The sequence below is a fragment of the Homo sapiens genome, chromosome 6 (genome assembly GCF_000001405.40).
Source record: "Homo sapiens chromosome 6, GRCh38.p14 Primary Assembly".
NCBI lineage: Eukaryota > Metazoa > Chordata > Mammalia > Primates > Hominidae > Homo > Homo sapiens.
This window is the reverse complement of record NC_000006.12, coordinates 110,194,584-110,217,359: the sequence shown is the minus strand read 5'-3', so window position 1 is coordinate 110,217,359 and position 22,776 is coordinate 110,194,584. Positions and strand designations below refer to the sequence as shown.

At 35.4% G+C, this 22,776-nt stretch overlaps 1 protein-coding gene across 2 annotated transcripts in view; it reads right to left on the bottom strand.

The window, feature by feature from the left end:
• CDC40 (cell division cycle 40) overlaps positions 1-22,776 on the bottom strand; it is a 51,806-nt gene that overhangs the window by 14,873 nt on the left and 14,157 nt on the right. Inside the window, exons 3-9 of one of the 2 annotated variants that reach the window (NM_015891.3) lie at positions 15,673-15,802; positions 9,771-9,854; positions 8,137-8,276; positions 6,557-6,653; positions 5,088-5,227; positions 4,200-4,274; positions 2,029-2,074 (exon numbers count right to left, since the gene is read on the bottom strand). In NM_015891.3, coding sequence (NP_056975.1) covers positions 2,029-2,074; positions 4,200-4,274; positions 5,088-5,227; positions 6,557-6,653; positions 8,137-8,276; positions 9,771-9,854; positions 15,673-15,802 — 712 coding nt within the window. The remainder of the gene's footprint in view (positions 1-2,028; positions 2,075-4,199; positions 4,275-5,087; positions 5,228-6,556; positions 6,654-8,136; positions 8,277-9,770; positions 9,855-15,672; positions 15,803-22,776) is intronic. The other variant, XM_047418862.1, reaches the window with a different exon arrangement.

The window sequence follows — 22,776 nt, the reverse complement described above, 5'->3', positions numbered from 1 at the left end:
ATGGAAATGTAAAAGACCAATTATTGCCAGTGAAAGAAATGGCTGCTGGAATTTTGGAGGTTCACTCTCAGAATGTCCACCAGGCTGCAAGTGAAAACAAAGTGCCCCAAACCTAAAGTTCAGGAAACTGTAGCCCTTGTTCAATAATTGTATATTTCTGTGATCACATTACCAAATTTCATAGAAACTGATTCAGAATGTAGGAGACTTTCTGAAAACTATATTAGCTTGCATGGTTTTTTATTTTTATTTTGAGATAGGGTCTTGCTCTGTTGCCCAGCCTGAAGTGCAGTGGCTGGATCTCAGCTCACTGTAAGCTCAACCTTCCTGGCTCAAGCGATCCACCCACCTCAGCTTTTCGAGTAGCTGGGATTACAGGTGCACACCACAACGCCTGGCTAATTTCTGTATTTTCTGTAGAGACAGGGTTTTGCCATGTTGCCCAGGCTACCTTCTTTTGCTTTAAGATGATATTTTGATAATACACTAATTTTAAGGTGCTGATTATTATACTTTACTTAAAAATGAATATTGCCAGTTCACTCAACTCTTTTAAAAGTTACAGGGAAAAATAAAATGTGGCTAAACAAAAGCAAAAATGTTCCTATTTTTGCCACCCCACCATGACCAAGACACGTACAATTGTGCAAAATGAGCATGGCACAAATTGTTAACCACATGCAGCAGCTCTAAACCATCACCTCCAGTGAACTCCCATCAGGAGGTACGTGTCATGGTAATTAGGCATCCTTTTCTACAGCTGGAGTCCCAGTCAGAGCTTCTATCATCTCCTTCAGGAGGAAAATTTCAGTTTTCCACAGAAAAATGGTCTGCCAGTAGAGGGGAGACAGATGCGGACCAAATCCACTCTATCTGATGGAGACATTTTGTTCCCCTGTACACAGCTGAGAGCCTTCCACAAGTCTTCCTTTAGGCTGCGGTGACATCTTAGGCAGTATTAATTTGTGCAGGGAGGCCTTAAAATCATAAAGCACTGCTGAACAGACTCCCACTTTAATCTAAAAACAGAGCCACTACGAGTCACACCGTTTCAACGTGGTACAGTTAAATTTGGAATGAGTAACTAGCCTTCACATGAAATCTGACAAAGACAATAAACCTTTCTCTACCAAAAATCTGGTTTGTCACAAAGCTGTCCTCCCTTTGGCCTTCTTTCTTTCTTCAAGGAGTTCTCTCAATCTCATCCTTTTTTTATGCTTTAGCTGTCAATTCCCAGTCTCTCTTCAAAGCTCGACCTCTGGCTATCTAATTGCTTACTGAACATTTTTACCTCAATATCCCAAAGGCAGCTCAAATTTGGTGTATCTAAAACCTTACCATCATCTTATGTTCCTTCTTGGTGAATGGCACCATCGTTCATCCAGCCTCATGGGAGTCACTCTAGATTCCTGTCTCACTGTGATCATTCACATGCCGTTACTAAATCTCACTGACTTTAACTCTAATACGTAGTTCCTTTCTTTTCTCTCTCTGCTGCTTTGGTTCAGGCGCTCATCATCTCTAAACCAGACCTATGAAATAACTGTGTAATTAATTTCCCTTCCTCCAGGCTTGCCCTACCAAATCATCCTGCATATTGCCATTTGATCTTTGTAAACTTCAAATCATGTTGCTTTCCGGCAAGAGCTCTTTAATGGTTCCCCAATGCCCTCACAACAGAGGCTAAACTCTTTATTAATGGCACAGGAGGTCTTCCATACTCTGGTCCCTCTCTTGCTACTTTTCTCCGCTTTTGTCTCTCACCATCCCCCATACTCTGACAATCCTGAAATGTACGTGGATCCCCTCAGCAGCACGCTGTCTCACACCATTTTTGTTTTGCATCCGCTGCTCTTGCTTCCTAGTTCTCTTTCTTTGTCTAACTGGGGACACTGACTCCTCCTTCCAGATTCAGCTGAAATCTATGAAGAGTTTACTTCCTATCGGTGTAGTAAAGTTATTGTCAATGATGTTATCTTACTTTAAAAATTCTTCCCAGATTTATGTTGGAGAGAAAAGAAGCATTACCAATAAATGTTCTCAGACAGCGCCGTTCTCCATAAACCTCCCATAGCTGGGGGAGAAAAAAAACAACACATGGAAATATTACATTTAATAAAGGTCCTTCAATTAATAACAACAGCCCTATGCTGGTTATGTGTGTGCACATCTGTGTGTGTAAACGCACAGCTTCAATCATTAAATATTAAACACTGAATATCATTAAATATAGCTTGGTGCTGCCAGTTTGTGTTATATTATTTGGAACACACACACACAGAGTCACACACGCTCAAAACTAAAGAGTTTTAAAGATATTTACATCAAAAAAGAGACTTAACTATAGATGGAGTTAATTCAGGTAAGTTTTCATTTTCATATTGTTCTTTTCTATTTCATACATTTTCTAGGATGAAAAGTTTCTACTTTTGTAGCACTACAAATGACGTTTAAAGGAATTGTTATTAAAACTGCCATGTATATAACATTTTGATACTGAAAGCCTTTTCTGTTTACTTTTCTGAATAACAAGTATTACAGAAGCTGTAAGAAAATGATGATCTAGACTAAAATAAAAGGCTCATAATTCTCAGCATATCTAAGGTGGATTAATACAATAGCTTCAAGGCTAGCTTTATTCTTGACTGCCTTGAATCCAATTCTCAACAATGTTGCTAGTACTCTAAAATAGAAAGCATTTCCTTGCCACTGGTGCCAATAGGACACAGTCTCAGTTACTGTAGCATACTAGGAAACGACCTCTGAGACCTGGTTTCTTGCTCATGACTGCAATCATTCCTTGTCTCTTAGATGTTATGCTCCAGCAAGCACAAAACTGTTATTTTCAGCACACACCATGCTGATCCATTCTCTTTTCAAGCATACTCTACTCCTGTTTCCTCATCCTTTACTTAGTTAACCAACTTACTAAGGTATGCTTCCTCTTTGAAACCAGCATATCTTGTGCTTGCCTCTATAATAATCATTTATATCATAATAAAATGATCATCCTAAGGGGAGGGACAGTGCCTTTATAAGCTTTTACTTTCAGTCCCCTGCACATAATAGAATGTTTATAGAAGTGAACTAATTGAATTCTATGCTTTTTTGGTTGGTCAAAGAAAAGACCAACATCTCAATTAACATGGTTTGTACAAAGTAAAAGTAAAAGTTAAGTAAAATGGGGGTTTTTACTCCAAAATGTTGGCCTGTCATTTTAAGCTATTAGAGACAAATGCCTAAATGGTTGCTCTTATAAAAAAAAGTGGCCTTTTTTATTGTTAATATCCATGAATTATTTACAAATGATAAAATTTTAATGACTCAACTTTTCAAGCCCCAAGAGCACTATAGGGTTGGTATTTATTGAACCATCATCATGGTCCGGACAAAGAGAAGACACAAAACTGGTAAGAACTATCCTTTCAGATTCAAAATTTTTTTCAAGACATCCTGCATATTCAGGTTGAGATGCATTGGCAACGGAGTTTTTTCTACCACACATTCTATGACTGAACAGAAGCTAAAGATGGAGCTTCCCAAGACTAGAAAAGGTGAAAAGAAGGGGCTGGGAGCAGTCCAGTTACTTGGTGTCTACTAGTATTTAGAAGAAAAAGGATGAATTACATTTTCTACTTTCTAAAAATGGGATTTCTAACCTATGTCCTCTCTATTTCATAAGGTTTGGAGAAACAAATAAACTATTACATATACAAAATCTCTATAATGATTAGTGATTAAATATTTATATGTCCAAAGCCAAAATGATTGGATTACATTCTCATCAGTTGTCTAAGCTTAAAAAGGGGCCTAGCCACCATGGGTGCCTGTAGTCCTAGCTACTGGGGAGGCCGAGGCAGGAGAATGGCATGAACCCGGGAGGCGAAGCTTGCAGTGAGCTGAGGTCGTGCCACTGCACTCCAGCCTGGGCAACACAGCAAGACTCCATCTCAAAAAAAAAAAACAAAAAAACAAAAAACAAAAACAACAACAAAAAAAGGGGCCTAGCCAATTGGACCACAGAGCCATAGTTGATTTTATGTTTGGAAGTAGTTCATAAATTGCTGCATTTACAGGATCTAAGAGAAAATAATTAGCTTCTAATTGCCTAACAAACCCAAATTTATTTATAATTAATCAAACAGATTTAAACAAAGAACTAGCTTTGCAGCACTCCTACTCTGTTACTGAAAACTCACCTTAATTTTACAGTCCATGGAACAAGACAGCAATAAATGGCCAGAGAGAGGAAACAATCTGACTGCACTGACGCCCTATAAAAAGGTATTACAGTTATCAACCAGAAGCATTCAAAAGATCAGCTCAAATGAAGCATCAAGAAAAGACAGTATATATTAAGCAGCCTAATTTGCTATTTTTCTTCATTCCAAAAATCTCACCCCAGAATAACTTTCATTAGCATTCCAAGAGCAGGCCTTATTGACACTAAGCTTTTGAAGATTTTTTTTTTAACCTTTAATATTGAGTTCCTCACCCAATGGAATCCTGAGTCAATCAAATTGCTAATACCCCCACTTCTCTTCCTTTTTTTACTTAGTCCTTTGCTCTTTGCAAAGAGTTGGAAATTATAAGTTGGAATAGTACAGATGACAAAGAATATCAACATCAAAATTTTTCATGACCCTTATCTCTGCATTAGTTTAAAAATTACCATAGTTTATAAACCAGGGCGCATCTAATCTCTGAAGTGTGATAACCACAGAGCTAAAGCAAAATTACTGAAGCTAAGCAGGAGACTTGGTGCTAGTACCAGCCCATTACTCACTGATTTGGTGCCCAAAAGGAAGAAGACTGTAGCAGGAGCTTGTGGGGAAAGGCCTGGCTACAAGGATACAGGACACTAAATCATGAATGCTATGTCATGGCCAATTCAGATGGCCTTGAAGACTGATTAGTCACTTGTGATGGATGTGTGGGCATCTCCAAAGCATAACTCAGGCTTACATTCAATTTGACTTCCCTGTACCTTTACCAGAAATACTAAATGTTCCACATCAACAGCTAAAACTTTACGTTGGCTTCATTATTATAACATTACAGCAAACAGAAACAACCAACTTGCTTACCTTTGTGTGTCCAGACCACACATGAATTTGTTTTTTGGGAAGATAACACTTCTCAGGTGGCATAGTTGACCGTAGATTAACACCAACATCCTGAGGTATGTGAAGATAGGACCTGCCTTGATAGTCATACATTTCTTTAACTGAAACAAAAAGGCAAAGAAAATCAATAAACAAATACAACCCATAGTCATGAAACCTAACATTCTTAAAATAACATTTTATTCACAGGTATATCATTCCATATTAAGGTTTAGGTAATAACACTCCAATGATGTCAAGATCATGAGTCAGCTAAGATTTAAGTGCTTAAAATAACTGCTATCATTTACAACTAGAGGTAGTATTTCGAAATTCCTAAATATCCAGAGATTATAGACCTTTAGATAATATCTATACTTCTTTTCATCACTTACACATCTTAGTGATCTATAAAGACTTCACTGTGGCATAATTATAGCAAGGGAAGATAATACTTGGGCCTTGTTAGTCACTGGTAAAGAAGCAGAAATAAAACAGGTTAAGAAGGAAGTTAAAACAAAACAAAATATATCAACTATCCTTTTCCCCTGCTTTCCTCTCTTATGCCCTTCCAGTTCCTTTTCATTTATCTTTTCCCACTTTCATCACAAATTTTACAATAAAGTCACCTGTGAGAATTAAATGACATAGTATATATACAGCAATTAGCAGCATGCCTGGCACAGAGTAAGTACTCAATAAATGTTATTTTTATATTATTGTTATTATAGTTTTAAGTACCATAGTACTAAATAGACTCCTTGGAGATAAAACTGAAGCTTGAAGAACCAAATATGGCTTCATCAAACCTAAATATCTGATGTAATATAACATTAGAATAAGCAACACTGTAAATGCTAAGCTATTCTTTACAGTTTTAGATAATCACTATGTATTTTCCTAAATATAACTAATTATTAACAGGTACATTCTAGAATACTTACGATTTGTTTTGGTGAATATGCATTTCCTTCTACAAGTCAAAATAAGTATGAGAGCCTTAAGCTCCATCTTTTCACACGAAAATCCAAGTTTATTCTGAATATAGCTGAATAACGATTATGAACTGTGAGGATACCTGAGTATTTGGCTTCATTAAAAACATTTAAAATGACTGGGGCACTATTAATACACCAAAAGAGTCAACTTTATCTTACGAAAGAATAGATTGTGGACTATTCAAGTTTCTTTTTATCTACCATTTAATAAAATTCATTCACACTTGGAAAAAAATTATCTGTGGCTATCATTAATCATGCTATTTTTTCTCCTTTATCAGTATACAGAAGTCTGCTGTAATTTCCTTGGGATACAAATTGTCCAACACAATTATACTTAACATAATGATTTTATTACAGCTGATAGTAAGGGTAATTGATATTGTATGAACAGCGAACAGAGTAAATATGAAGGTTTTTCATAAAAATGAAGATGTACAAAAAATATGTTACCATGTAAGATTGTCTTCTCCTCCCCAGGTTTCTCTTCTTCCTGTTTTCCTTTTTTCTGCCTCTTTGCTGTGATTTCATCCAATTCTTTTTGCTCTTCCTAAGAAAATTAAGGAGTGAAATTTAAAATGAATGTTCTAGAACCTCATTATACCTAAAGTTGGTTATAAATTCTTTATAATGACTTCTACATATCTGGTCCGAGTATGTTCCCAGGATAACAAGCTCAACACTTTTTTTTTTTTTTTTTTTTTCTGAGATGAGTCTCGCACTGTCGCCCAGGCTGGAGTGCAGTGGCGCGAATCTCTGCTCACTGCAACCTCCCTCTTCCTAGTTCAAGCAATTCTCCTGCCTCAGCCTCCCGAGTAGCTGGGACTACTCGGTGCACACTACCACGCCTGGCTAATTTTTTCTGTTTTAGTAGAGACAGGGTTTTACTGTGTTGCCCAGGCTGGTCTCGAACTCCTGAGCTCTGGCAATGCGCCCGCCTCGGCCTCCCAAAGTGCTGGGCTTACAGGCCCGGCCAAGCTCAAGTCTTCTATAAGCAGAGACTGATTACCTCTTCCACAAATTATGAAATGGTACTAAATACATAATGGATACTAGATAATACTTTTCAACTATATAAAATCAGTTTTCAAAACTTATCCTTCTGTGACACCTAGAAATAAATTTTAACATGTTATACTAGTTATACAAGTAAAAAGACAAGGCAATCAGAAAATCTAGTTTCAGAATGGAAACTGAATTTTAGCACATAATGTTGTTTTTCAGTTAATTGTTTTTACATACTCCTAAGGATATAAGTGATAGCTATACATTTGTGACACAATTTTTTTGGGAGGAGCTGGGGACAGAAGATGGGGTAGTAGTAAATCTCTATCTATAATAACAAGTCAACAGATAAAATCTAAAATAAAAAATAGTAGAATAAGTTTATTCATCTTAGATATCACCTGTTTATTTCTATTACTATAAACATGGATTTACTGGATGTAAGTAACAGCTAGAATATAAGCTTCATGAGGTCATGATTTTCTTGATCTTGTCCACTGCTGTATGCCTGGGACCTAGAACACTCTCTGGCTCATGGAGACAGTGAGATTAGGAGGTGAGGAAGGGAACGGCAGAGCATTTACTTTACAAACTTTATAGTAGTTTTTAAGATATATATAGAGATAAAATTTGTTGAAAATTTTAAATAAATTCATAAATCAATAAAATTTATAATCAATTCTAGTGTCACAGAAGGCTGATTTTGTAGTTACTATCTGAATGTCTAGTATCAGAAGAGTAGCTACCATGGCAGCTTAATAGCAATATCAAGGAAATCTTTATGAAAATTGTTCAATATTGTATTTTAATAAAAAAGCATGAGAGAAAACAAATCAGCAGAAAAGGTAAATAAAAATATCCCAAAGAAAAACAAATAAATTTTATTGTATATTTTCAATCAACTAAAGGCAGAAAAATTTTGATGAGTCATTTGGTTCTCTAAAGAAATCTCAAGTTTATTAATGTAGATATCCTTCATAGAGATACAGCGTATACCTGAATTGACAATTAAAAACATCAAAGCTTACTTCTGAAGGTTTGGCTACATCTTTTTCATCCACATATTTTGCCCATGGTCCCAAAAAACCATCAATATTGGATGCATCATTTTCTTTAAACTTTTTCCTCTTTTCTGTTTTCTTCTGACCAGTTTCAAATACAGTTAAACCTACGTTAACAAAAAAAAAATTAAAAAAAAAACTGAGAGATTACAAAGATGTACATTTTCTAAAGAAATATGAACATATGTTTAATTTTATTTTATATGGTTAAAGAAAGATGATTGTTCAAGTGACCCCAGAGTTATTAAAAAACAATCTACATGAATCTACCATATACGCTGACTCATGCTACAGAAAAAGGGATTCAACCTTCTGGGCAAAGACACTTAAAACTAATTCAATATTCTGCAAATTCTAATACTGTATACTTAAAGAAGAGACCCAAATATGTACTCCTACAATGGCGCACAAGCCTTTTATTGAATCAAAAAGCTGTGTCAGTGGATTTGTACGACTTTCTGGAAAAAACTCAGAAACTCATTATTGCTAAGTAATAATAAAGTGACATTTGGAAGCAAGAATAAACTGTAATTTATCATTTTAAAACTAAATTAAACTAAATTACTGTAAGTACTTAATAACTTATCTTCACTTCACTTGTAATGCAAAAATGTAAATCAAACAAGGTTTCACCAGAAATGGTATTCCTTCCAAGTGATTTCAGTCTCATCTTGACCTCTAATATCATTAACGTTAACAGTAAAAGAAAAGGAGAAGGAGGGTGTTTCTGGTTGAGATTTTGATTTGATTAGTAGGAGGTGGCATACTGTGTATAGTCATTAACTTGGAAAAAGAAAGGTTTGTGGAATCATAGTCACAAGTTAACTAAGAATCTAGCTACCTTTAGATGGGACTTGCAGAGGTCTAGCTTAAAGAAGAAATGTCTACCTATATTAATTCAGGCTATGTTTTATAGCAAAAGCCTGTTAAAATTCTATTTTAACAATAATCTAGCTCATATACAGAGACCAGCCAGATCACATAGGATCTATAGCTACTAAGCACAAATGTCCCATGCAACCAACCAGCAAATTACTTTTTAAATTGCATTTTATGGATAATATTCTAATGGACTGATGAGGCTTGTGACAAGTTAGCGTTTAGCGTATGATGTTTTGTCTTATTGTAAGTACAAAATGAATATGAATACAAGCATACATACAACACATATTCAAACTCAACCTTCAAAGCAACTCTTCAAAGACAATCTTCACAGACTTACCAAATAAAGTATTTCTACTCTGTTAAAATGAAGCTTGACATTAATGTTGAGAAATCAATTGCCAAAATTATCTATACATTAGTTGTAATTTATTGAGTGATTTCTACAGGGTTGGCATGGTGCCAAGTACTCAAAGTAACTCAAAGAGATATGTATCATTATTTTCCCTACAAGATTCCACAACTAGTAAGCGGCAAAAGCAAGCTCTAAACTGTAACATTTCTGAACTATATTGCTCTAAACTGTATCGCTCCATTGTTTCAACTTTAAAAAAAAAAGCGCTAAATACTATTTTTTACTGTCTAATTAAAGTCACTCTGCAAGACACTAATTATAGATGTGTAGGTATATATGATATCAAATGTTTCAAATAAATTACCTTGATTTTTTTCAGCTTCTTCTACAGAACCAATATATTTAGCAGACACTTGATGATTATCTAATGAAGGGTCTAATGCATAACCTGAAAGCAAAAAAGTGAAAATTATTAACTCCATTTTGCTGTTTAAATTCATTTTATTATTATAATACAAATATACACATTTCACATTTTCTTTCCCAGATGTCAAAAATGATCTCTAACTCAGGACCAATCAGGACCAATCATTCTGCCCTGAGCTATATTGCTTCCTTTTTTTTTTTTTTTTTTTTTTTGAGATAGGGTCTCACCCTGTCACCCAGGCTGGAGTGCAGTGGTGTAATCTCGGCTCACTGCAACCTCCGCCTTCCAGGCTCAAGCAATTCTCCTGCCTCAGCCTCCAGAGTAGCTGGGATTACAGGCATGCGTCATTACCCCTAGCTAACTTTTGTATTTTTTTGGAGAGATGGGGTTTCACCATGTTGGCCAAGCTGATCTTGAACTCCTGACCTTAAATGATCCACCGCCTTGGCCTCCCAAAGTGCTGGCATTACAGGTGTGAGCCACCACTCCCGGCCCCTGAGCTATATTTCTATTTAGAACCCAAAGCTATATTTTTCTATTTAGAACCCAAAGCTCAGGCTAGACTCCAGCATAATATGTTTCTTATAGGATGAATTTTGCATACTGACATTACATTACTAAGAGCCTCTCTGGCCAACACATCAAACTTTAGTTTTAAATATTCTAAGAGCTTGAAAATACATGTACATGATGCACTTGGAAATCTAGAAACCATTTTCCTTTTCTTCTTGGTAATAGATATTGCAGGGCTAAGTTTATCAAATTATGTAAATTATTAAATAAAAAAGGGTAAGAAGATTACATAAAATCTAGCTATTATTTTGAAAATACCATTTGCAGTAAGGACAGTCTTCCTTCCCAATCTTAATATATTTCTATTTCATCAATCATTCTTTATATTTCCTTAAGAGAAGGAAGGATATCTACCAGCATACGAATGTGCTTTTTAAACTAATTATAAAGTATGTAGCTACATATAAATGTGGTCTTCAGTGGTCCATGGGAATTTAAGGAAAGAAAGTCTACCTAAGTTAGCTCAAATCAGTTTTTTTCTCAAATGGGTGTGCTAGCACAGTAAATGTTTGGTAACATTAGTCTGGTATATTCACAAGAGTGCTAAATCACTGATCACTTTATGGCCTACAACTCATGTGTACGATAATAGAATACATAAAAAAGTACTAAGCCCATTTTTTCTAAAGGGCACATCCTAGAGGATAGACTTATTATTTTCATTTTTCATCCAAAGTAGTCCCAGCTACTCGGGAGGCTGAGGCAGGAGAATGGTGTGAACCGGGGAGGTGTAGCTTGCAGTGAGCTGAGATCGCGCCACTGCACTCCAGCCTGGGCGACAGAGCGAGACTCCATCTCACACACACACACAAAAAAACAGAATATAGGGAACTTCTTTTGGGGAACAGAAAAAGATTCATCATGAAGCATGCTTTTCAAACAAGCTAAGGATGTAAGTGCTGAACTCACCCTCATGATATGCTATAACAGAACCAACCACCTGGCTATTAGCTGATTTGCATATAGTTTTTTTCAGCATTAAAATATGTTCTTAACCAGAGGAGAGAGCTTGGTGGCAGAAAATCAGCCTTTGGAGTAGAATCTCTGAAATCACAGGTTCAAATCCCATGAGTTATTTTGTCTTTAATCTCTTTGATGTACAGAAGTGTTCTGCACATAACTTTTTCCAAAAAATGAGACTTTTATAAGCTCATACCATGTTAAAAGTTTCCATTTCAATAATAAAAAACGTATCTAGCTAGAATGTAAATTTCTACTTTGAAAGGAGACTTAACGTCTACATAAATAGCATTTCATGACGCGTCTGGAAGGGTGAAGGAGTAGACAGAGAGGGAAGAGGTATCCCTGGTCCTTGTCTCTGTGTAAGCACCATTCCCCAACTCATCTGGCCACTGTCTTGTTACTCAGAAAAATAAGTTATGCTTTCCTCTTGCTCCACATCCTCTGTGGTAAAAATCTTTACTGCCATACCACCATCCCCACTACTGCCTTCCACCCCAGGTGATTAGAAAACAGTATTATTTTCCTTTTACAAATAAGAGTTAAATATTTGGCCTTATGTCTTACTACAAATCAGCCAGTGATAGAACAAGATCTAATTCTAACACTACTAAATTTCAGTCCAATTTGTTTTCTCACTATCTTGTGTCTCAAATAAGTGAATATTTCTACATTTCTTAAATATTCTTATCTATCTTCCTGAAGCTTGTTTTCCCTTTTATCTTTTTAATGGAATTAATGTCTACTTTCTTCCCTTCGGCAGTCTTATTTGAAATGGCCATAATATTGATTTTATTATTATACCCTTAAGATTATTAAACTAATAATAATTATTAAAACTAATTCCATTAGGCAAATGAAAAGAGACTATAAACAATTTGCAAAAGAATGGTCATAAATATATGAAAAAACCTTCGACCTCACTAGTAGTCCGGAAAAATCAAGTTGCAATAAAGAAATATAATACTTTGATTATCAAGTAAACAAAGGAAAAACAATCATATGGATCTTTGATGAAGAGAAATAGGGCCGGGCATCGTGGCTCAGGCCTGTAATCCCAGCACTTTGGGAGGCCAAGGAAGGCAGATTACTTGAGGCCAGGAGTTTTGAGACAAGTCTGGCCAATATGGTAAAACCCCATCTCTACGAAAAATACAAAAAAAAACATTAGCTATGTGTGGTCGTTCATGCCTGTAATTCCAGCTACTCAGGAGGCTGAGGCATGAGAATTGCCTGAACCCCAGAGGTAGAGGTTGCAGTGAGCAGAGATCCCACAACTGCACGGCCTGAGTGACAGAGCGAGATCCTGTCTCAAAAAAAAAAAAAAAAAAAAAGAGAAATAGGACTTTTATACACTGTGGTGGTAGAGTAGGTTGAGAGAATTCTTTTGGAAAGCAATTTGATAATATATACCAAAAGCTTTTAAAACACATATTCTTTTACCTACGTTTGGGAACTCATTTAAGAAAATAGTATAAAATAATATAAGAACATGTAAAGTTTTATGTACAAAAATATTCACTACCATGTTTTAAAATGCACTTTGTAGCATAACATACATCACATTTTTAATAGTGAAAACTGGAATCAAACTGAAATCTAAATGATACAAGTAATTCTTTTAAAAATTATATCTTTGTTCAGTAGACTGTTTTTAAAAAATCATTTAAAAATGTTAATAAGGGCGGGCACGGTGGCTCATGCCTGTAATCCCAGCACTTTGGGAGGCTGAGGCGGGTGGATCACAAGGTCAGGAGATCGAGACCATCCTGGCTAACATGGTGAAACCCCGTCTCTACTAAAAATACAAAAATTAGCCAGGCGTGGTGGCGGGTGCCTGTAGTCCCAGCTACTAGGGAGGCTGAGGCAGGAGAATGGCGTTGAACCCAGGAGGCGGAGCTTGCAGTGAGCTGAGATCGCGCCACTGCACTCCAGCCTGGGCAAGAGAGTGAGACTGTCTCAAAAAAAATAAAATAAAAATGTTAATAAAGGATTTCAAATATTGAAGTTAAAACTCATGTTAATAATTATTGTGAGACTAAAAGTATTTATTTAAAATTCTATTTTCCACTTCTGTAGGTGGGTGTAGAGAAAATTCTAGATGAAAGTCGAACAAAAGGAAGAAACTTCATTGAGAAGCCCCAAGTAAGACTGGCAGGGGAGCAGGCAGAAAACAGGACAAAATTCACACAACCACTGAGGGGCTGAGAAGTCAGGAGAAATACCATAAATGCAAGCTAAAAGCAAAACTGTAGAGTAAGTAAACGGGATGACACAGTAAATGAGACTATTTTCAGTGATAAGGACTCTACAGGTGGGCTCTATGATAAACTAACTGCATTGTAGAATATAAATCTTCCAGAAATAATTCACTGAGATTATAACAATCTTACAACTTTTAAAAATGGGAAGAAAATTAAAATAAATATTTGTATTATATTCCAGCAGTGATAGCCCAGGGTTATGAGATTGAGGTAAAACTGAATTCATGTGTCACCTCCTGTATGTCTGTTAGATAACACCACTACAAGGTATAAGAAAGGTTTGCTTCCTTGCACTTTGCAAATGAGGGAAGGTAACGGAAAGGTCTCACAGCCTTACATTTCATGTGGAAAGATTAAAAAACAAGAACAACAACAACAAAAGTTGATAGGAATCTGGTATAGGAATTACTATCAGAAGTCAGATAAGAACTTTCTATAAGAAAATTATAGGACAAACTAATAGAAGTCATATACTTGCTCAGTACCTGGGGGCAAAGAAAAAACAGACAGTGTTAAAACTAAGGTTTAAAGAGACAGTTGTTAAAGCTTAGACAAGACTGATCTTATTTACTAAGTTCACTTATTAAGTTTACTTGAACTTAATAAACTGTCTCTTTAAACCTCAGTTTAAACCTAAATCTTACTAAGTTCACTTGAACTTAATAAATAAGATCGACCTTATCTAAGATCTATCATAAAGGAGACAAACCAAAATTTTCTTAGTTTTGTAACTGGCCATTCCGTTTATTTTAGGCTGCCTAATATACTATAGCCCCAAATTCATTTTTTGTCTTTAACTCAATAGTTCAACCTGTGTCCTAGCTCTCCACTTCCTAGTGGGAGAGGCAAAAATCTCCCACTTTATTTTATTTTAGGCTGCCTAATATACTATAGGCTGCCTTTATTTTAGGCTGCCTAATATACTATAGCCCCAAATTCATTTTTTGTCTTTAACTCAATAGTTCAACCTGTGTCCTACCTCACCACTTCCTAGTGGGAGAGGCAAAAATCACCAGATACTTAAAACAAACAAACAAACAAACAAAAAAACACAACCCATTTCTGAAACCAGGTCTAAAGCCAGCTGAAGAGTTTTAAATCCTTATTCTTGTTATAAGGTAATTTAAGAAGAAAAGTAGGTATCGGTATAAACTTACTTGGACTTTTGTTTTGTTTTAAAGGAAACAAGAGAACTAAATTATTGCTTAAGGTCCTTCTAAAGTCGAAGACAATAAGTCTTTAAAAGTCTCTTATTATAGGTTAGAATATAACAAAATCATGATGTAACAGTTTATTTTTATGTGCTGCACATTACTTTAGATTTACATGGGACCCCTTATACAAGCAATGGGTATAACATATTTGTAACCATTTTATTGGACTGGAAGTGTCATAGAACTGTTTTGGGTGATTTAAGTGGTATATAGCCTTGGCTGTGATATTTGGTACATTCTAAGTCTATTACAATCTTACCATGGTGAAGTATGATCTAATACATGATAATCCTCTATACAAGCAGTTTCCACGCACATTAAATTTTTAAAATCCCACCACTGGTAGGATGTAATTATTTTACATAATGAATTTTTCGCTATTCTCTTTCCTGATACCCTTCAGTGATCAAGAGAAAGCATTTCCAAGATAAGATTTGAGAAACAGAGTAAAGTTAAATAGCCTATAATAAGATAAAAAAGTAACCTCTTAACACTATCTTTTCATTTGCCAACTTTAACAGCAACCTACATGTAATGGATATAAAATAACAAATGTCCATTACCTAGTACGACAACAAAGAGCATTCTGGTTAAGATCACAGAATATTTCCAGTACTCAGAAATCACAGTGGATTTACAATGACAGCTAAAAATATGAGTTCACCTTCCCATTTATATAAATATTTAAGGATATGTATAGGAAGGCATACTATCCTTTCTGAAGGAATCCAGTGAATTTTAAAAGCCAGAAGATAAAACAGACTAACACACACAGATCACACTTCTAATAAAGCCAAAATTGAAACTGCTTAAGTCTTATCACCTTACCATATGTTGCAAAAGTTCTCCTTTGCTGCTCAAACATGAAATCATTGATATGAGCTGGTTCGGCATATCCAGAAAGCATATTTCTAGGGGCAGCCATTTGCTGTGTCCTAAAGGGATTTTCTGGTCCAAACTGCAATGTTACAAGAAAAAAAATAAAATAAAATAAGAAAGACACAAAAGTTCTGAGTATATGGAAGTTAGAATTACTGGAATAACTGTACAAAAAAAGGGCCTATTAACCTATCTGGGAACACATTAGCCTGATACGGTTCAGTGCAGCTGGGCAATGGCTGATTAGCACCATTTGTCAGCCCCTGGGACAGAAGGAGAGGAACCCCTCTCACTCAAATCTATATGTAGCTATTTATTTCAAGAGCTCAGTAGCCCCATGTGGTTGTCAGCTACTACATTCACATTATTGCAGAAGTTCTACTTCACAGTGATGCTCTAGATAATTGAGAGTTACTATAGTTTCCCCAAACCATGATTTCGGGGATTTGGGGTGACTTTTATATCAACAGTGGTACTGTCATATAATTTTTTTTAAAAACTACATGTTTCTTTTCCACTAGTTCCTCAAAGTGGGAGACTCAGAATACTCAATATTTACCACAGTGCCTGGCATATAGAAAGTACTAATGAAGGAAAGATTAATCAGAATTCCATTGGGGGTGGAGGATAGAAAAACAGACAACAAAAATAAAGTGCTTGAAAAAGTCCCTAGGAAAAGATATTGCAAATGTCAATAAAATATCTCCACTCTGAGAAGTCACACTATGAAGAGTCACATTACTTTTCTTATACCGAATAGTGCCAAATTATTATTTGCTTATAATACTTTTGAGTTTCCAGAATGTTTTTCCAAATGCTATTTAATCCTGACAAGTTAAACAAGTATTCTCCTTCTCATGCTGCAAATGAAGAAAAAACCCCCAAAGGCAATGTATTTTACCTGCCCTAGGATCAAAAGTTTTATTAATTGGCAGAACCAGGGCTAGAACAAACAGCAGTCAAGCATTCTATTACATCATAAAGTTCCTTAAATGCACCATCAGAGCCTCTAACTTTTAAAAATTGAGTAAAAAATTACCAGAATATATTATGTCAAGTGCTATTAATTTAATACTATTATAAAAGGTACTGGGAAAATCCAACTCTTTTTTTGTTTGTTTTTAAATAAAGAATCAAATGAGCTTCCCACTTTGGAAAGGGCGAAAATAATAGGATATTTTCATCTGAACTCTGTAAGACCCACCGTCATGATGAATTATTTTGACATTAGAACATTGTAGGTCATTACCATTAGAAACCATCTCTTCTACGATACATTTCCAGAGCCACAAATAAAATTACTCATCTTCTCTTAACCAGTACATTGCATTCTCTAGATATCAACATTATACTATGTATGAAAATCTGAATTTAAATGTTAGCTGTGCCTTACATTTTTTTCTGCTTTAGAAGAAAATAAATTGCTACAACATTCCTATATATTGACAGCTTCCATTTATATGTTTAAAATGATTCAATTTTAAAATATCTGATTTATATACAAAGCTTTTATTAGTACATATTCTTAATTATAATGGATAGTGCAAGACTTTGCAGCCCATATTAGTCCTTCCTGTGCCTCCTGATGGGTGAAAAATGTCGGGGAAAAAAATCTAGATTGCTGAATGCTAGAAGTAGCAGTCAACTTCATTCAGTCATGAAATTTATTACAAAAACAGGAACAGCCATAAAATTACAGATAACAAAATGATTTAAAAGTTTCCTAGATTCTCTACCCGCTACGGTCAGCTATCATCCACAGAAGCTATCATCCACAGAGCAGCATCTGCTATTTCTGGTCAGAGGTGGGGTGGAGGGGGCATGGTGGGGAATCTAAAGTGATAAAAATCCCCATTGTTCTTAACTGTTACTCACATCACAAATAACAGATGACCAATCATTGTGCTTTAAGTAACTTTCCATTTAAAAAAAGGAGACTACAATTTCCATATTCTTATTTAATTCAGATTTTACTAAAAAAGAAAGAACAATTTTTCTACAGGCCATACATACCAAACTAGCTCCACTTTTTTTTTTTTTTTTGAGACAGGGTCTCCCTCTGTCACCCAGGCTGGAGTGCAGTGGCGCAATCTCAGCTCGCTGCAAGCTCTGCCTCCCGGGTTCACACCATTCTCCTGCCTCAGCCTCCCGAGTAGCTGGGACTACAGGTGCCCACCACCACACCCGGCTAATTTTTTGTATTTTTTGTAGAGACGGGGTTTCACTGTGTTATCCAGGATGGTCTCGATCTCCTGACCTCGTATCCGCCCGCCTCTGCCTCCCAAAGTGCTGGGATGTCTATAGGCATGAGCCACCGCGCCCCGCCACTAGCTCCACTTTTTAAAGAAAAATTATCAGTGTAAAAGAACTGTGATTTCTATACAAAGACAGATCCATATATTAAGGCTATGTATAATATAAGGTACTATACCGAAAGCAATCTAAAACTTCACATATGCCTACTACACATAAAGCAATCTAAAAATTTACATATGCCTATGTCTCACACAGATTTAAGCTGAGGCAACAAAAAAATCTTCCAGTGATACAAGGAATCAGTGGGAGGAGGATTCATCTACTGGTAGCTATTGGAGCTGACCTTAAAGACATTGAATATTAACAGAGGAAGGCAGCGAACGCTACTTAGCAGGACTCAGCTCTTCCCAATTACTCAAGATAGGTTTCTCAGCTGTTCTTGGTCCCTGTGAATATGCAACTCGCTTAGTTCTGGAACAACCATTAAAAAAATACAACAGAACACATGGAAAACACACAAATTTGATTTCCAAACACTTCAAGTTTTGGTAGTTAACTGAGTTTAAGAGTAAATTTGTGTTCACGTGATTTATAACAAGATATAAGTAAATACATAACATAAATGTGAATGTATAATATATTCAAGTTCATATGCGTATTTAACAATTTTTAGCTCAAACAATAATGAAGAACAATATAGTAAATTATAATTGCAATCTCCTTACATAAAACATACACATTTAAGTGAGAAAATGTTTGCAAACCATACATCTGGTAAGGGGTTAATATCCAAAATACACAAGGAACTCAACTCAACAGTAAGAAAATAAATAACTCAATTAAAAATTGGCAAAGGACTTGAATTTCTCAGCATTCCTCAAAAGACATATAAATAGCCAACAGGGGCCAGGTGCAGTGGCTCATGCCTGTAATCCCAGCACTTTGGGAGGTCAAGGCAGGTGGATCACTTGAGGTCAGGGGTTCAAGACCAGCCTAGCCAACATTGTGAAACCCTATCTCTATGAAAAATACAAAAAATTAGCTAGGCATGGTGGTGTGTGCCTGTAGACACCTACTCAGGAGTCTGAGGTGGGACAATCGCTTGAACTCAGGAGACGGAGGTTGTAGTGAGCTGAGATCACACCACTGCACTTCAGCCTGGGTGACAGAGCGAGACTCCTCTCAAAAAAAAAAAAAAAAAGTCAACAGGTATTTGAGAAAGTACTCAACATTACTAATCACCAGAGAAATGCAAATTAAAATCACAATATCATCTCAAACCTGTCAGAGTAGCTATTATAAAAACGATAAAGGGTAACAAGTGTTGGCAAGGATGTTCTGGAGAAAAGAGAATACTTGTATACTGTTGGTGGGAATGGAAATTAGTGCAGCCACTATGGAAAATGGTATGGAGGCTCCTCAAAAAATTAAAAATAGAACTACCATATGACCCCAGCAATTTTACAAGTGGGTATATGTCCAAAGGAAATGACATCAGCATGTCAAAGAGATATCTGTATTCCCACGAATCAACCTAAATGGCTGTCAATGTTTGAATGCATAAAGAAAATGTGGTATGTCTGCACAACGGCCTACTATTCTGCCTTGAAAAAGAAGGAAATCTTGTCATTTCTGACAGCATAGATTAACCTGGAGGGCATTATGTTAAGTGGAATAAGCCAGGTGCTGGGACAAGTATCACATGATCCCACATGTGGGATTCAAAAAGTTGACCTCATAGAAGCAGAGAGTGAATGGTTAGCAGGAGCTGGGTGGGTGGGTGGGGATGGAATGGGATGGAGGGGTTTTGGGTGATGTTGGTCAAAGGATGTACAATTTCAATTAGGAGGAATAAGTTCAAAAGATCTATTGTACAACATGGTGACTACAGTTAATAACAATGTATTCTTGAAAACCACTAAAAGTAGATTTTAAGTGTTCTCACCACAAAAAATGATCAGTACATGAAGTAATGCATATGTTAATTAGCTTGATTTAGCCATTCTACAATGTATACATATTAAAAAACACATTGTACATTGTAAATATATACAATTTTTGTTAATTAAAAAATTAATTTATTAAAAAGTATGTAAGTACTAATTCAGATCACTACACCCAAAGTATGTATGATGTTCCCAAGAGAAAAGTATTCTTAAACATCTGTCAACTGAATGAAGTAGTGGTTTACTTATAGAGTTGGGAGAAAAGCACTCTTAATTTGTGAAGATGCTGGTTGATAACTCTCAGAGATCTGATACTATAAGGATGTGGATCTCAAAAATCTTCAGTCGGTAGAGTATTGGTGAGTCAGCATTTTAGCAGCATATTATAACATTGCAGGAATTAAGACAATTTATACTACTAAAAATGGGCTAAATAAAATCATAGTTGTAAGTTCACATAAAGAAAAATAACCCAAATTACTGAACATATAATAGTATACTAGATTGTTGGTACATTTTTCATTCATATTTACTGCAGTCATTATTGTTTAAAAGATTTATAAACAAATTTTAAGGTGAGAAGAGTCTGTTATTTCCTGCAAATTAAGAGAAGATCCCCACAATTCAATTTTATTAGTGGATATCATGTCATATCTAGTAAGGCATAAAAATATTAGTATGAGAAAATTTCATTAGTGCTGGTTCTATGATCTTTGGTCTCAGTTTCCTCATCTACAAATAGAAGATTTGAGCTATATGATTTCTAAAGTTCATCATAACATTAATATTTACAGCAGCCTTTATAGCCAGATTTTTAACAGTAACTGGTGTTTTTGTTTCTCTTAACTTTTATATTTTTTCTATTCTGAAGTACTACTATTTTAAAGAGTCTGGAATTCTTCCTGAGACTTACAGATTTTATGAGTTTATAGAAGCTAATTAATACATTTTTGTCTAAGCAGATTTAAAAAGAATTGAGTGAAATGAAGAAATTACTAGACTAAAACAATGGCTACTATGTCTTCGAGTTCTATCCATTATGTGAGAAAAATTATCTATATAACCAGCTAGACAATTTGGGAAAAGTCCTTGGTCAGAAGAGAGAAACAATATTTTATAAAATAAAATAAGCAATTGAGTAAATGTTCAGAACTAGCAAAGTCAAAGGCATAGGGGTTACCCTGCAAACTCCACAGTGGCCTTCAAACTGGTCTTCCAATTATAGGGAGATAATTAAGAGTGATCTGGACTCAAATCTCTAAATTTGCCACTTGCTGGCAGTATAACTTAAGACTTGGTTTCCTTGCTATAAAATAAGGACACAGGTACTTACTTCATAGGGTTTTAGTGAGGACTGAAGGAGATGAGGTATGTAAATCCTTCAGTATGGTACCTGGCATACAGTAATAATTGGTGGCTTTATTTCACTAATCTATATCCCTGTTCTTTTCCATAATGCAAACGCATACCAAATAAACCTTCTTAAAAATTCAGCTTTGATTATGCTACTCCCCTATTTAAGACCCTCACAAATCTATTTATCATTGATTAAATCAAGATAAAACTCTTCACCTTGGCCCCCAAAGCCTTGCGCAATGTTATACAAAGTACCATCCTAGTCTTATCTCTCAATTCTTTCTTCTGGTAAGGACTCGGGCATTCCTGTTCTTTAGATCTTTTATGATTCGGCTCATGCTGTTTGTTCTCTTCTTGAAGTCTCTCCTCATAAAAGCCTACCTAGCCACCAATGCCAATAATTAATAAAAATAACAATGATGACTACCATTTGTTAAATGCCTACTCTGTGCCGGAAGGATTTTTTAACTATATCATACATTATCTGATTTATCTTTATAACTCAATAAGATAAAAATTATCTTCATTTTACCTACGAAAAAACTAAGAACGTCCAAGGTTACACAGAGCTAATAAGTATTCCGCTTAACTCCAAATCTCATGTTCTTGACCTGGATTGAATTGCCCAATTCAAACATTACTTCTTTCAGGGAATTTTTAAAAGTATTTACAACCAGATGCAATTTTTCCTTAAGCTTGAGTAGTACTTTAGAGGCATAATAAGAAATAGTCTGGTCTCTATCTTTTTAAAAAAAACACATTTGACCAAACCAACAAACAGCACATACTCTCTGGTAAACACTAGCTTGAGGAGAGGGATTATATCTTGTTTCTAACAATGGATACTCAAAATACAGGAATTTAAAATTTAAACTGGTGAAGTTCCTAGTGATACTTTTCCAGACTTTGCCAAGTGATACACATCCTAGTCATAGAAGACAAAAGTTCAAAATTTGATAAGTTACAGAGGATTCATTTGGCAACCAGGAACAATTATAATTTTGCTTCCCTTTTAAGTCCTATCAGTCCTTTTTTACCTTGTAAAGAAGTACTGTAGTGCTCCTCACATAAACTAATTTATACATTTAATGTGAGGTTCTCTAACCCGAGGAAAAAGAACATTAAAGGACTGAAATCCCACAAAGAGAACGACAAAAAAATTTTAACTGGTCTTTTAAATTTTTCTTGAAAGTTTGGAAACTAATTACACAGCAATGTATTAGTTATGCATGAAATTTAAGAACTCATGAAAAAAGCAGGCTTCAGAGAAAATAAAATGACATGAGAATGTTACATATCAGAATGCTTCCAAATTTTCTTATTTTCCTAATTCAATGGCTCCATTTTATTAAAGTACTTTTCATTTAAAAAATCATGAAACATATATTTACATATAATACACAACCTCTCTTCAGTGGGGTGGCTAAAATGGTGCCAATGGATATGAGACCACCAGTAGTCTGACATGCTAGAAGGATTTAAGACACAATGGAAT